Below are 14787 nucleotides of genomic sequence, written 5' to 3' on the forward strand. Positions count from 1 at the left end.
AAGGCTATGAATGAAAATGCCACGTCTCTGACAGCGATTTACCTGAAATGTGTCATCTCCCTGCACACCCCCAGCCCTCACCCCTCAGCATCCTCTCTCTGCTGCCAACTCACAGCCCTATGGATGAGTGAAGCCTTTTTACAGCAGCAAAGAGTCAACCAGAGGAGGCAGAGCATGCTCTGAAAGGGCAGGAGTCAGAGGGAGAGTGCCCTGACTTCATGGGAAATCTATTTTTCATAGGAGAGAGCAATGCATGGGTATTGAACTCGCCTCTCATTTGTGCCTGGCACCCCGAGGGAAGGTGAAAACAGAGCCCAGTCCCATCTTTTTCTTGGTCTGATTTGCTTCTATTCATCACTTTTTTCTTGAGAAAAAAAGAGGAAAAACACAAAAATAAAAGAAATGCAAGAATTTGGAGTCAAATCTTGAAGCAGAAAGAAAAGAGTAATGCCGTTTGCAGTCAGGAACAGAAAAAGCTAAATATGCCACAGAACAGTAAGGCAGTGTTCTCAAATGCGTGTGCTGATATTCCAGCCAGAGTGTGGCTCATATGCTGTGTCCACATGGCGACGTCGGGGAACCACACACCCTAAGCAAACAGGAGCTGAGAGGGAACGGGAGTGATTTACAGTTTAAAAGGGCCTTCTTCCTCTTCCTAAGAAACTGCTGCTTCTGAGGAACAAAGCAAATCTACTATGATTATTTATGGGTCCATCAACAGATCTGAATCACCTCACCTTAGTATGAAACGAGATGGATAAATAAATAAATTCAGGGAACTGTCTTATGCCTGATCTAAGAAATACACATTTTGATGAAGCATTTACATTTTAATAAACCAATGATGATTTTCATTAGAAACACATTTAAAGGGGAGGCAGAAAAAAGTTAAGAAGTTGACAAATACAAAGAAGTCAAAAGAATGCAGAAGCAAAGTTCTGAGCATCTAGACAGAGGTGGCAATGGCCCAGGAACCTGTCTCTTGCCCTGTCTGCTCCATTCAACTGCTAGGGCGAGCACCGCAGTGCTCGATCTAGGAAGGCGGGCAGCCATTTGTCGTGCTGGCCCTTGCTGCCGAGAGCCTCGGCCTGCCTTCTCCAATCTGCCCTGTGGTGCCTCAGCCCTCCCAACGCCCCTCTGCCTGGCTCTCATGTTCTCAGGCACGAAACATGCACATGCTTCCTCCTCAAAAAATATTTAGGAGTCGACCTTTTGGATTCTAGAAACTTTCCAGTCTGCTTCTTCCCACTGCGCACTTTGCAACTAGTTAATAGGGGTTTTGTTGTTGTCGTTGTTGCTGTTTTGCATTAAGTCAAAGAAACAGTTCATGTATAGATACAGCCAATGTAGGGCCTTTCCTCAAACAGAAATTGGGAAGAACAATGCATGACTGCAACGTAATAACCCAGATTCTGATGTCTGTTTAAGTTGATTACAGTGCACCCACGAGGCAGCAGCAGTCCAGGCCCAGGCCCCTCACAAGTGAGTTTTCAGAGCCGACGCCAGTGAAGTGGGGCTCATGCAAGGACCCTCCCTCCTCACGCAAATGCTCTTCCACCACCCTGCAGAGTTCCTCCCCAAAAGACCTACTTCCTCCTTTCAGAAGAGGTGGCGTTATCACTGAGTTGTCTCCTTTCTAATGCGGGATTAAAAAGGGAGTCACGTAAATGCGGGCACACTATTTTTTCCAGACAAGATCATCACAGCAGATGATGGTATTTGTTATGTCTTTAAAATATACCTGACTCCCTAATACTTCGTGCCTTTGCTAATCACTGTTTTCCCTTCTCAATTTTAGCTTTATATCTGAGCCCTTCATAGCAATCTACTTGAATGTGTTATTAGAGAAAAATGAAGAGAGCAGAGAGAGGCACCTCTGCTGTTAACTCTGGCATTAGACAATTATCATTGGGCTCTGCAACTGCTGTCACTCATTTTTCTTAGGAAGAGGTCATGTTAAAGTGAACGAGCATGGGGGAACATCCAGAGAGCTGCGGCCAGGAAGGAATGGGAAAATGGAATTTGTAGCTCTAGAATGGAAGGAAGAGGAAAAGAAGTGTGAAGCGACTGACAGGCTGTTATGGTGTGGTGACTACATTTTCTATTGTGGGGTTACAACACAAAATTCTGAAGATGCTTTCTGCATGTACACAAATTCCTATGACAGAGAAAAGCAGCCACCAGCAGCATTATGACGGGCTCCCAGCCTGTGAGAACAGGGTCAGGGAGGAAAAGGAAACTGGCTGCGCCAGCGGGCTTGCATTTTACCTTCCCCAGGGTTCCTGGTACACCCGCCCTGGTGGGTGTCAGCCTCGATGCTGAAAGGGCAGCAAAGAGAGGCCAGCCAGCCTCCAGCTGAGGGAGCTCAGAACTCAGCCGGAGAAGCAGCGCTGGGTGAAAAGTGACTGACTGATCTATATGAGACTTCTTTCACTAATAAGATACAATATGCACATCTTCCTTAACAAATAAAAACCACTCTTTCAACTGACAGATTGTGTTAAGATAAAGAACACACTGAAGAAAGGAAAACCCAAACTATTATTTTGGCCCCCTGACATTACAACCAGGAGTAGTTTCCTGCCTCCCCCAACACTGAAGGACACACAGCATGTTTTCTGAATGAGCCTCAGTCCGTAAGTGTTCACACTAACAACCTTGAAAGAGTTTTGAAAAGTCTTACTAGCATGAGAGGCAGAGTTCTGCGGATGGGAGACGGGGCAGGTGTGGTGGGGACAGCCACACACGGCTCCTGCAACTGAGTGGGCTGCACCCCACAACAGGCCCCCAGGCTGCCTGCTAGGATGTTTTCATTCCAATGAAGAACGTAGTGCTTTTTTCTAGCACTGTACTTTAGGGGAGAAAAGTGTTGCAGTTTTATTTGATGTTTTACATAAAACACAGGGCTGGGCAAGGAAAAAGAAATAAGACTATCCCATTTACAGCGAGCTGGGCTGTGTGCTCATGGCACACCAAGTCTAGAATCCAGGGCTTTACGCAGAGGTATGAGGTGCTGAACTGTGACACACAAGATGGCAGCTGAATGTCCTGGCTGTGAGTGTAGTGTGGATTTCAACTGCCTCAAAATCATTTCCCCTGGGTTCATCTTCCTGGGGGAGGGAAATTGTGTGATGAGTAAAAAGCATTATTTCTTTAAAAGACAAATCAACTTTGAAGATACAAACCATTAATTGCAAGAAATAAAAGTTGTGAATAAGAGTCCTTTCAGAAGCTGCGAAGATGGTGCACACTTATCTTGCAGCAGGAGAAACGAAACGCAGCTCTCTAAAAGAAAACCAAGTACAACACATCGTCCTATGACTTAGTCTGGCAACGCAATGAAAACTGTCATGTGCTGAGGATATTAAAGGTTTTAGTTTTTGCCACTGGCTATTCTGGGACTCATTTAGGGATCACAAGGGTTAATGGCTCTTCGTCAGCTTACAAGGCCCATTCACTGTAAAAAGCGACAGAAAGTTAATTAGGTGAGACCAGCCGAAACCCCATTCAGGTTTCTGACTCACTTGATTTTGTGAGAAGCCAACGAGTTGACATATTCTGCCTCCGAAGGAGCCAAAATGAGCAGGCTGCTCCCATGGCAGCCAATCCGGGCGGTTCTTCCAATCCGGTGGATGTATTCTGCAGGTGAAGATGGAGCGTTGTACTAAAAAGGGTAACAAAAATGAAGGCATTCATAGATCAAGGGACTGCCATTAATTGGAAGTGCAATACTCCTCACCTGCCTCCAGGTATCCCAAGAATTAAATCCTGGTGCTATGGTTACCCTAACACAATCACAAGGAGAAGTCACCCAACCCTGAAACTCCTGGCTTCATTGGAAATAACAAGGCTCCGACAAGCAAATGTGAACAGTGGCCAAGTTTCCGATAAACGAGACGTCTTCTCATCCCAGTATCTCCTTTTTAATTTTACTTCTCCACAGGTCTCTTCATTTTCTTATTTGCATCTTTTCACTGTGGTGACTGGATGAGGTGAAAATGTAGGCAGGTGGGGGTAAATTTCTCCAGGATGACCACATGACCTTGGCCTACTTCCTTGGTAGACAAGGCCACAGGGTGAGGTGTCCAGAGGACACTGGAGGGTGTAAGGATGAAGGGGCTCCCTGCTCTGTGGGCAGGGTCTACCTCTGATGCCAGGCCACCAGGAGCAGGCCCCAGGAGCTGGTCCCCACCAGCCTGCAGCAGCCCCACTCAGTCCTTCAGAATGACGGCCATTCTACAGAATGCGGGCAGGTGAGGGGCAGGTTCCCTGCAGGTAGGGACATGCTTCTGCTTGCACGGAGAGCACTGCCAACTCAGAGAAAAGAGCAGACTCTATCACTCATTACAATGGATAATGCAAAGCATTGTATGTTTTCTTTGGCAATAACTTTGTCATCATTAAAGCTAATTGACCATCCACTCATTCTTCCCTATGTTTTCCCTTTGATGCTACACATATCAGAGAGATGAGGGCCAAGGTCAATATAATGTATGGGAGGCTAGGCATATTAAATGAATCAATATTCACAATATAAGCTCTAAATGATCAATTCTGTATGTCTGGCCTCCCATACATTAAAATTGTCATTGCCTTATCTTCAGTTCACTCTGTGGCCAGCAGGAAAGAAGACACAATGCCTCCAGTTCTAAAGTGATCATCTGCAGTGAGCAGATCAGACATCCTGGCCAGTGACAGGCATGCAATCCCACTAAAATGTGAATAAACCATGACTCACGTCAACAGGGCATGTCCCCCAGCCCCGACACAAAAGGGCTTAAAAATACCATTCTGTAGACTAATGAAAAGAAAAAACAAAACTAAAACCACCAGACTCTAGTGCTAACACCTGTACCCTCTGGCAAAGCGTCTAAGGCTAGAGGTATGTGTAAGATGCTGTCAGGAACTTAATTGCTCCCTGCAGGTCAACGTACACGGACACGGCTCTCGGACAGCTGAGCCATCTCCTTCTGGACACAATGAGGCCTCCCAGGGACCGAGGTAATTCCCATTATTTTCAGGTTGTTGAAATTTTGGTTTGTGACACGAATTAGTCTAGAAGCAGGAGAGCCTGCCACCTCCCTCTCGTGAACGCACATTCTGGCTGTTTTGCTGCAGTGGTGAGGTGGGCTGGGTTAAGGAAAGATGTCAGGGGAATTGAACAGATAAGGCTGGTTTGCTGCCTGGTTACCAGGGCAACACCCAAGAGGATAATAATAATTATTCTACTTAAAGCCAATGCATCTACTCATGATCATATATTCCTGCCTAAAGCTTACACCTTAACAACTAAAAAATTACCTGAACAATCCACGTGACTTGAGGGAGATCTAAGCCCCGAGCTGCAACATCCTTTAACAAAGAAAAGAATATGGTTTAACACTGAGTTTCTGAACCTTTCTGGGGTCCTGGATATGTTTGATAATTTAATGCAAACTCTGAGAGTTCACCCGCCCACAGTACATGCACATTCGGGCATACACGTATATGCCCAGTACGTGTACACACACACACACACACACACACACACACACACACACACACACACACACACACACAGTCCTGCATACAACTTCAGGGGGCTCAGGGACCTACTGCAGTCCTCTTGTGGTTAAAAATTCTGATTTAGGGGCAAATTCTACAGAACCCATTGATGAGGGAGTCACAACACCCTTTGCTAAAAGAATCCACAGGTTAGCCTAGGAACTTAAACAGTAATTATCAGTTGTGTAATGTAAAGAACTCTGAACTCTTCTAGCATGTTTTATTGATTTACATTTTATCTGAAAAACCACTTGAGGAACACATTCATGGATTATCACCCCCCGCCCACAACCATGAGCAACGCCTAACAAGCTGGCCTTGAGGTGTGTTCTGGAACATCTCCCCTCAAGGCATTCGCTGTGGGAGTGAAGTGCAAAGTATTTACTTAGGATTTTGCTTTCTGGCCTCAGAGAGCAGCAAGGATCTAGTAACCCCCTACCCCCATCTCTTCAGGTAGCTGGATTAGAATACAGGCCAAGCCCATTAATCGCTTCAAAGATTTAGCTAGATAGCTGAAAAACTATAAAAGCAATGGAGATTTATTTTTTAATTTTATGTATCTTTTCAACTAGTCACCACCCAAAGAGCAAAAATTCTCTACTCTCTCTAGTCTCTCACCATTCTAGCAGACCAGAAAGTGGGAATTTCCCTGACTTTAGCATACATCTGTACTCAGCATTCATTCTTCAAGAATAACAGTCGTAACAAGAGTGTCCCAGCCAACATTTACTGAACACTTACTACCCACCACACACTGCGCTGAGACCTTTACCTGCGTTATCTTGACTAATCCTCAAAACAACTATTACCCCCATCTGACAGATGACAAAACCAAAGTTAAGAGAGATAAAGTATTTTGTTCGGGGACACACAGCTGGGAAGTGGAAATAATCCTCGAATCCAGGTCTGCTTTGCTTTTTCAAGGCCATATTATATTATACCGCATTCCACCATCAAAAATGATCCCATGTCCCTCATATGCTGCTGGTGGGAATCCCTATGGCAGGGAATTGGGTAGTATCTAGCAAAATTACATGTGCATTTGCTCTTGACCCAGAGCAGTATCACTTCTAAAAGTCCACACAAAAAAAGATACACTGACAAAAATACAAAATGATATAGGCATGAGGCCATTCATTTCAGCACTATATATAATTTGTAGATCTAGAAAAAAACTGTCAACCAGCAGAAGACAGGTTCAATAAAATACAGCAATATCTCATATAACAGAGTACTATACAGCTATAAAAAGAACAAAGATTTCTATATACGGATATGGAGACTCTAGGATATATTTTGAGTGTGTCTAGTATGCTTGTGTAAGAAGTTGGGAAAATACAAACATATTTGCTCATATTTCAGTAGGAAATAATGGTGGGAAGAACCCCCAAAGCTTAAAAAAACAGTTATCGCCAGGGGAGGAAAAGAAGAGGAAGGACAGGATAAAGATGGAAGCTACACTTCCTTTAATGAACTTTGATACTTTTGACTCAGACCGAAGTGTATTGGCATAATTTAAAAAGATAAACAGCTGTCACTATAGGAAACACAGAGTATCACTTATGACATATTCTCGCCAAACAAAATAAAACCTGAAACCTAGAACCTAAATCTAATCAAGTCTCTAGATCCAACTACTAGTTTACAGGAAGTATGGGAAAGAGGAACATGTTGAACACCGTGAGGACACAATTAGCCAAATCCTGAATGTAGGGTATTCTAAAAGACAAATGATCTGGTTTCTTCAACAAAAAAGTTAAATAAAGGAGGAGTAACGACACCCAAAACACATTAAATAGGCAGATGGAGAACCAATACCATGATAGAGGCTCACAAAACCACCAACTGTGGTTATCTCTGGACAGAGGGATCTAGGGGGATTTTTACTTTTCTCTTTGTGTTTGGCTTTAACAATGAATTCTTATCATTTCCCCTACAATTTTTATTTAGAAAAATTTAAACCTACAGAAAAGTTAAAAGACTAGTACAATCTAGATGAAGGAGATACAGATGTAACTCCTTTACCTAGATTCTGCCACCACCAGTCTTTGGCCCATCTGTGTTCTATCTACGCATGCCCACGCACACACACACATATGCAAGCACATTTTTCTGAACCATCTGAAAGTAGGTTGCAAACATCATGACAATTTAACCCTAAATACTTTAACACATACCTCCTAAGTAAAAGGACACTGATCTACATAACCACACCACCATTATCACACCTCAGAAATTTAATGCTGAATAGCATTTTCTAATAAACAGTCCATATTCAAATTCTCCAACTGTACCTAAGATGTTTTTTTTTTTTTTTTTTTTTTTTAAAGATGGGGTCTCATTCTGCTGCCCAGGCTGGAGTGCAGTGGCACAATCACTGCTCACTGCAGCCTCAACCTCCTGGGTTCAAGTGATGCTCTGGCCTCGACCTCCTGAGTAGCTGGACGACCAGAGGTAAGTTCCGCCACACCCAGCTAATCTAGACTCTTTCTGCCCAGGCTGGTCTTAAACTCCTGGGCTCAAGCGATCCCCCCATCCCAGCCTCCCAAAGCGTTGGGATTACAGGCAAGAGCCACCACGCCTTAAGATGCCTCTTACAGTTGTTTTTCTTTCCTAAACTAGGATCAGATGGTAGGTCACGCACTCCGTTGTGTCTCTGTAGACTTCCTTAGTTTGGAACCACACCCCTGCCTTTGATTGACTTACTTAGTTTTTCGATGTCTGTCATTTTTTAAGAACATCAAAATGTTCCTGAGGACATCGGACAACTGGATTTGTCTAACTGCTTCCTCATGGTAAGGTTGCGGTTAGGCTTTCTGGCACAAACAACCTCAGGGTGGTGTGTGCTTCCCATGGTTCCATGTCGGGAAACACACTGGGGCAGTCTGTCCTGTATGGGTCCCTCTGTTGAGAAGGTGACTTTCTCCTTCGTAATGAGTAAGTAGCTGGGGAGTTACACTTTGAGACCATGCGAATAGCATGGTCCTGTTTCCTAAAACCTTTCACCCAAGGCTTTTAGCATTTACTGATGGCCCTTGTCTGTACTGTTACCTTGATGACTCTTTAAGTCTATCATTCCTTCCATCCATTTCACAGCTCTGGGATACTTTTGTAAAAACAGCCCACCCCCAACCTACTGTTAAGTATCACAAAGGATTCATATGTACATAGCTTTTTTTTTTTTTTTTTTTTTTGAGATGGAGTCTCGCTCTGTCGCCCAGGCTGGAGTGCAGTGGTCTTGATCTCCTGGACGTCATGATCTGCCCGCCTCGGCCTCCCAAAGTGCTAGGATTACAGGTGTGAGCCACCGTGCCTGGCCTGTACATAGCTTTTTTGAAAAACAATAATACTATGCAAAATTTCTATAAGAAACACACTCCCGGTGGGCGCAGTGGCTCACACCTATAATCCCAGCACTTTGGGGGGCCGAGGTGGGTGAATCACCTGAGGTCAGGAGTTCGAGACCAGCTTGACCAACATGGTGAACCCCATCTCTACTAAAAACACAAAATTAGCCAGGCATGGTGGTGCATGCCTGTAGTCCCAGCTACTTCGGAGACAGAGGCAGGAAAACTGCTTGAACCCGGGAGGTGGAGGGTGCAGTGAGCCAAGATTGCGCCGTTGCACTCCAGCCTGGGCAACAAGAGCAAAACTCTGTCTCAAAAAAAAAGAGAAGAAGAAAAAGAAAAGAAACACACTCCTGCTTCCCCCAGCGTCGGAGGCAGGACTTGAGGGAGACACCATCCCACCATCACTCCCCCAGAAGGACCACTGAGGGTACCTCAGGATTTGTCTGTCTTCACTCGTAACTGAGATTTGCAGGTTTCCTTTGAATGCTGGCTAGGCTGCATTTATAAGTGTGTAAGCAGAAGTTAAATGCACTAAAAGTGTGTCAACCACCCACAAAGTGTTTTCAGACAGCTCCCACAGGCTCTGGAAGCTGAAGGCTGATGTTGCAGAGCTGATGCCTTTGAGAACACAATTTAGGATGTTCTCTATCTAAAGGGGAGCGGGAGCCACTTTCTACACCAACTACAGTTTATGTTTTTAGAAACACTGATGAGTTCTTACATCTGCAAAGCTCTTGTGAAGAACTGATTTCTTGTCTTTAAGTGCACTGCAGTGGGAGATCCACGTAGGCACGGGCTGCTTGAGCTTCACAGACGTGCCTTGTAAAAATTTAATGCTCATTGGCTTAGTAAATTCAACCAGCAAACACTAAGACTCTAAAGACTCTAAAATAACATGTGACGTTCATGAAACTCACTGTGAGTCCAAACACAGCGCAACAGTGAGTGATGAAGGGCGCCAGCAGCCTGTCATTGTGTCTTCAAGGCTCTATTTCCTACCTGGGTGACCTAGCTCTGGACAACAGGCTAAGACACAATCTTCCGGTCTCCCACTAATGCGTGTGTTGGGGGAACCTCACTGACGGCCAGCCACTGCCCAATACTCCTTGTTTTCTCTCCCCCAGATTTAACTCAGCCATTTCTTTAGGCTACCACAGTGAATAAGGAGAAAGAAAGGCAAGTCCTAGTCTAGGAAGAGAGAACTGGACTGCTTGCTCCAGTCCCACTTAGGGGCTGTCCAATCTGCGTGGGTCAGTTTGGCAAGCTGAGCCTCAGCTGCCCCGCCTATAAAATGGCTGGGAGAACCATGCTATGTACGTCATGAGGTTGTTGCTAAGATCAAATGAGACCACGTATATGACAAATATCTTCAGACCTATAAATCTCAGTATTCTGAGACTCTGTAAATCTCACTTATCCTGGTGAAGTAAGAACTGGTATCATGGCAATTAGGCAGAGAAGTGATTTCAATGTCTCTGTACTCTCCTCTTCCATCATATCTCATTCTCTGCCCCCGCCCTACCCAGGGAGAGGTCCCAGGGAAACAGCAGAGGCTCCATCTCCCTGGAGCACAGTCAGCCAGCTACATCAGATCAACAGGAGATCATGACCCACCAAGACTCAGCAGAGGATTCTGTTCTGTCTGCTCTTAGAACTTAGATGTAGCTTCATTTTATTCCTTTAAGCTAATTCGAGCAAAAGAATTGCTAAAGTCAGTTCTGAAAGACACTCAACGGTGAGGCCTTGAAGGCCCTGGGCCTGACAATTGGCTGCCTCCATGAGACCTAGGAGTACAGATGGAAGGCAGCTTGCTCAGGTGCCAGCCTGTCAGTTGGATTAAAATGACTCATTTATTTACCCAAGAACCTCACAAAGTGCTTTTACTAACAGGGAGAGGGGGCCTGCCGTCTCTCTGAGAAGGGACGCAGCACACTCGCCTCTGACGCCTTCCCGGCCTGCCAAAAGTCATTACTGCCGTGTGTGGAAAGCCATCAGCAGGGTCCAGGCCCCCGTTGTCCGGGTGACAGATTGGGCTGCGTAATCAGAGGAGGAAGGAGAGAGTGCAGAAGCTGTCAGAGGCGAGAGATCTTGGCTGGAGCCGCCAAAAAACTGGCAACATGAGTTAGCGTAACTGAGTAAACAGCAAACAATCTCCAAATGATCTTTCCATTAACGAAACAAAATAAAACGAAAAAGATACACTTTACCTAAAAAGCATACCCCAGAGAAAAGCACGAAAGTCTACATTTATTTGGGACACAGAACTGACATTGTGACTCTTCACAGCCGTATCTCCTTTGTCTCCTAGCCTCCTGGCACGGTGGAAATTCCCCAGGAGGAGAGGAAATTAAGAACTGCACAGACAGAACAGTATGCTTCAAGCGGAAAAAAATACGGAGAAGGTGGAGGAAAGCAGCACAGGTGATTTAGGTGCATCTTCTGAAAAAGAAATGCACGCGCCGGACAGCCAAGGAGGATGCCAAGGGACAGTTGGCGCCCAGGGCGGGCTGCAGGTATCTTTCCTTTCTGGGAAAAAGGTGACTGCACTCCATCCAGGGACAATCAAGGACAGCCACCGGAGACCAACAGAAAACCTAATGTCAGCCTTAAAATCAGGTGGCTTAGAAACTCCATTTTCCGGCCATTCGGTGGTACTTCTTATCAACTCGTCAACATAATGATGGTATTAAAAGCAAGGTTCCTTTCCTCTGGCTTAGGGTGAGTTCTTCACTGTAAGTAGGAGGAAATAACATTTTGCAGATAATCCAGTGTCTGATATCTGATCCCTTTGATTGCTTAATTCCACTTGGGAAAGTGGGCTTTGAACTTCCAATGACTCCTTCTTGCTCATCCCTACTTCCTACTTAACTTGGCTTTTTCTTAGATCTAGTTTTCCAGAAGACACGAAATTACATTGTGAATGTGTGAGGACTCCTCGTCTTTCACACACTGATTTCTTTTGCCCCCAGCTATGCTCTGCCTAGACTCCATCTTACCATAGCCACACCTTCATTGAACAGCCACATTACACAAAGCCACATTATCAGGACTTGCGAGCTGCATGAAACTAAAAAGGTCCCTGCTTTTGAGATGTTTATAATGAAAATGAAATGAAACACACACATGCACCCTTAACTGTTCCTAGCAAGAAGGAAAATGGGGTGGGGGACTTTTTAACCATGAAGGAAACAGCGTAATTGTGAACTTCTGTGTGAGCACACTGCTATTTCCAAATTTTCATAAAGACATTCATTCTGGCCTTGTTAAAAGGATCTCGGGATGATAAATTAAAATGGCAAAAGGCACAGTATAAAGGGGGGAAAATCCCCATGTAACGATTAACAGCACGATTCTTCTTTATCAAAAGAAGCCAGTTCTCCATCTGTCTCGTCCTGAAGTGGCCCTCGTTCCTCATTAACACCAAGGAGGCTCCTGGAGAGTGTTCGGATAGCCTGGCAAGCAACAGGCTGCTTAAAAGGACGCAGAGTGGCAGCATCTCCCCCGACCCAGGCATGATCTATTACAGCGTGTGTGTCCCACTCGCCCCGCAGCTCTCATATGCTAGAAGCATCAGCTAGAGCAAACAAGCATGGCAGAAGAGCCAGGAACACCGAGAGGAAGCGAAGAACTTCCCACGACTGGGAACCGGCCCTCCTGTTCTGGCCCAGCAACCGAGAGAAATGAACCCCACCCAGCTCTTCTCCAGTCATCTTCACTACACAGCAAAGAGAGTCCCCAGAATATCGGCATGCTGGAGTGACCTGGACTAGAAAATGAACAAAGACTGAGGGCTTTAGAGAAATCAGGCTGTGGGCGAGGGAGAGTTCTCTTTCCATGTGGCACCTGGGACTGGCAGGGCGCAGAGGGCTGGGAGGTACTGTGCTTTGCCAAGACAATGGCATTCTTTGTCTAGCTGATACCACGTGCCTGCAGGTATCATCAGCCAGACAGAACAAGGAAAGTGATTGTATGCTTTTGACCTGAGAATTATATTAACTATTTCAGAAAGAATAATCTTTTCTTCCACGCAGAGCTACTAAAAATACAAACAACAGAACTTCAGATACCTGGAGTTTTCTTTAAGGCTTACAACTCACTCATGTCTGTAAAGTGTTTGCATACTAGGAGACTCAACAATTTCTGAGGGATAAATCCAGCATGTTATGGGTCAAAGATAAAATATTCTGTTCCTATAATAACCCAAACTCCACCCCAAAGGTTCCTACTGCTTTCTATTTCAATATTCACAGTCCAGAACATTCACTTCTCAGATAACACCAGATGAATGAAAAACTTATTCCCAGTGAGCAAGTCTATTAATCTCTGTCTTTAGAAAAACACACACACTGGTAGCTCTTAACATCAAGTTTCTTGGGCCCTGTCTAGCGCCCCCAATTTGATCTACAAAACCAAGCGCCTACTGCATGCCTGCTCTGTGCTAGACACTGGGATAGAAATGCAAACAAATCACAGTCCTTGTCTTCATGATGCTTACGACCGGCTGGGAAGGCACGCAGACCAGGTGGGATGATCATTACAGTGAAGAAACGTAGGGTGCATTGGGACAGCCCCATGGGGAAGAATGGGGGGGCTTCTGAGTTTCATTTCTCTGAAGACATAAAATTTAAGGGGAGACCTAAAGATGGTTTAGTCAAAATCATGGTAGTGTTCCAGGCAGAGGGACTAGCATGAATCAAGGCCCCAAAGCTAGAAAAAGCCAGATGATACATTCCAGGACTGAAAGAGGGGGCTGTTTTGCTGAAGGGTAGGGAGCAAGGGGGAGTAGGGTGAAAAGAGACAAATAGGGGTCAGGTTCCACAAAGTATTGTTAGATATAATAAGGATTTTTGACAAATTTCTTTCCCCCGCTTTTTTTCTTTTGAGACAAGGTCTTGCTTTGTTGCTCAGGCTGGAATGCAGTGGTGCAATCACAGCTCACTGTAGCCTCGACCTTCTGGGCTCAAGTGATCCTCCCGACTCAGCCTCCTGAGTAGTTGGAACTATGGGCACGTGCCACCATGCCTGGCTAATTTTTATTCCTTAATATTTTTTGTAGAGACGGGGTCTTGCTATATTGTTGCTCAGGCTGGTCGTGAACTCCTGGGCTCAAGCGATCCTCCCACCTCGGCCTCCCAAAGTGGTGGGCTGGTAGGCATGAACCATCACACCTGGCCCAACAAATTTCTTTATTAAGTAGATTATTTGGAATTAATCTTCACTAGAGACCACGGATAAAGATGGCTTTAGAACAAGCTCGAGCATCTGACTCGTGGATGGGCCTCATAAAGGGAAGGACTTGGTCAGACACAGATCTCCTCAGGAGGCAAGTATTCCATGGTTACAGCTCTCAGGTCTGAATGAGTGTCTGCAGAGCCACTGTTTGCCTCACACACGAGAAATGACACTGTGATAAGCAGGTTACCAATAAGCCCCCTCTTGCAGATAAGCACACATATATAAACACACAAGAAACCATGCTGCACTCATACAGAGACTCTACACTTAAGACAGAAAAGTCTCCATTGCCTTTAATACTGAATATGGAATACAAGTTCCTTAAAAAGTAATTGCATCAAATGTGGCCTAGATGGGCATTCAAACAGCTTAGTATCTTTGTTTCTACCCAGCACTTGTTCACTGGATTGACTAAATTTATGGTACAATTTCATTACTGTGTATATAGGGACTTCTCCAATAACCAGCTGGGGATTAAGTTACATCATCCAAGATGGAACAGAGAAGGCATTTTAATCTTTGGAGATAGCAACAACTACGGTAAAGTGAATCCCCAGCCTGGGGGTAGAGAACACTGAAGGTTTGAGTTTTTAATCTCAAAAGAGCACAAGAGGCATGAGTTTAAAAGGTCAGTGTTGTGCTGGAGGAGGCAGCTATC

At 45.0% G+C, this 14787-nt stretch overlaps 1 protein-coding gene across 16 annotated transcripts in view; it reads right to left on the reverse strand.

Annotated features, from left to right (window-relative positions):
• DDX31 (DEAD-box helicase 31) overlaps positions 1 to 14787 on the reverse strand; it is a 76987-nt gene that overhangs the window by 33743 nt on the left and 28457 nt on the right. For 10 of the 16 annotated variants that reach the window (NM_022779.9, NM_001322341.2, NM_001322342.1 and 7 more), the window contains 2 exons: positions 5302 to 5352; positions 3525 to 3664 (listed from right to left, as the gene is read on the reverse strand). In NM_022779.9, the coding sequence (NP_073616.7) occupies positions 3525 to 3664; positions 5302 to 5352 (191 nt within the window). Of the gene's footprint in view, positions 1 to 3524; positions 3665 to 5301; positions 5353 to 11122; positions 11625 to 14787 lie in introns of those variants that run through there. The other 6 variants (NR_136309.2, NM_001322340.2, XM_047423735.1 and 3 more) reach the window with 2 other exon arrangements.

This window comes from Homo sapiens, chromosome 9 (genome assembly GCF_000001405.40).
Source record: "Homo sapiens chromosome 9, GRCh38.p14 Primary Assembly".
In the NCBI taxonomy this organism is placed as follows: Eukaryota; Metazoa; Chordata; class Mammalia; order Primates; family Hominidae; genus Homo; species Homo sapiens.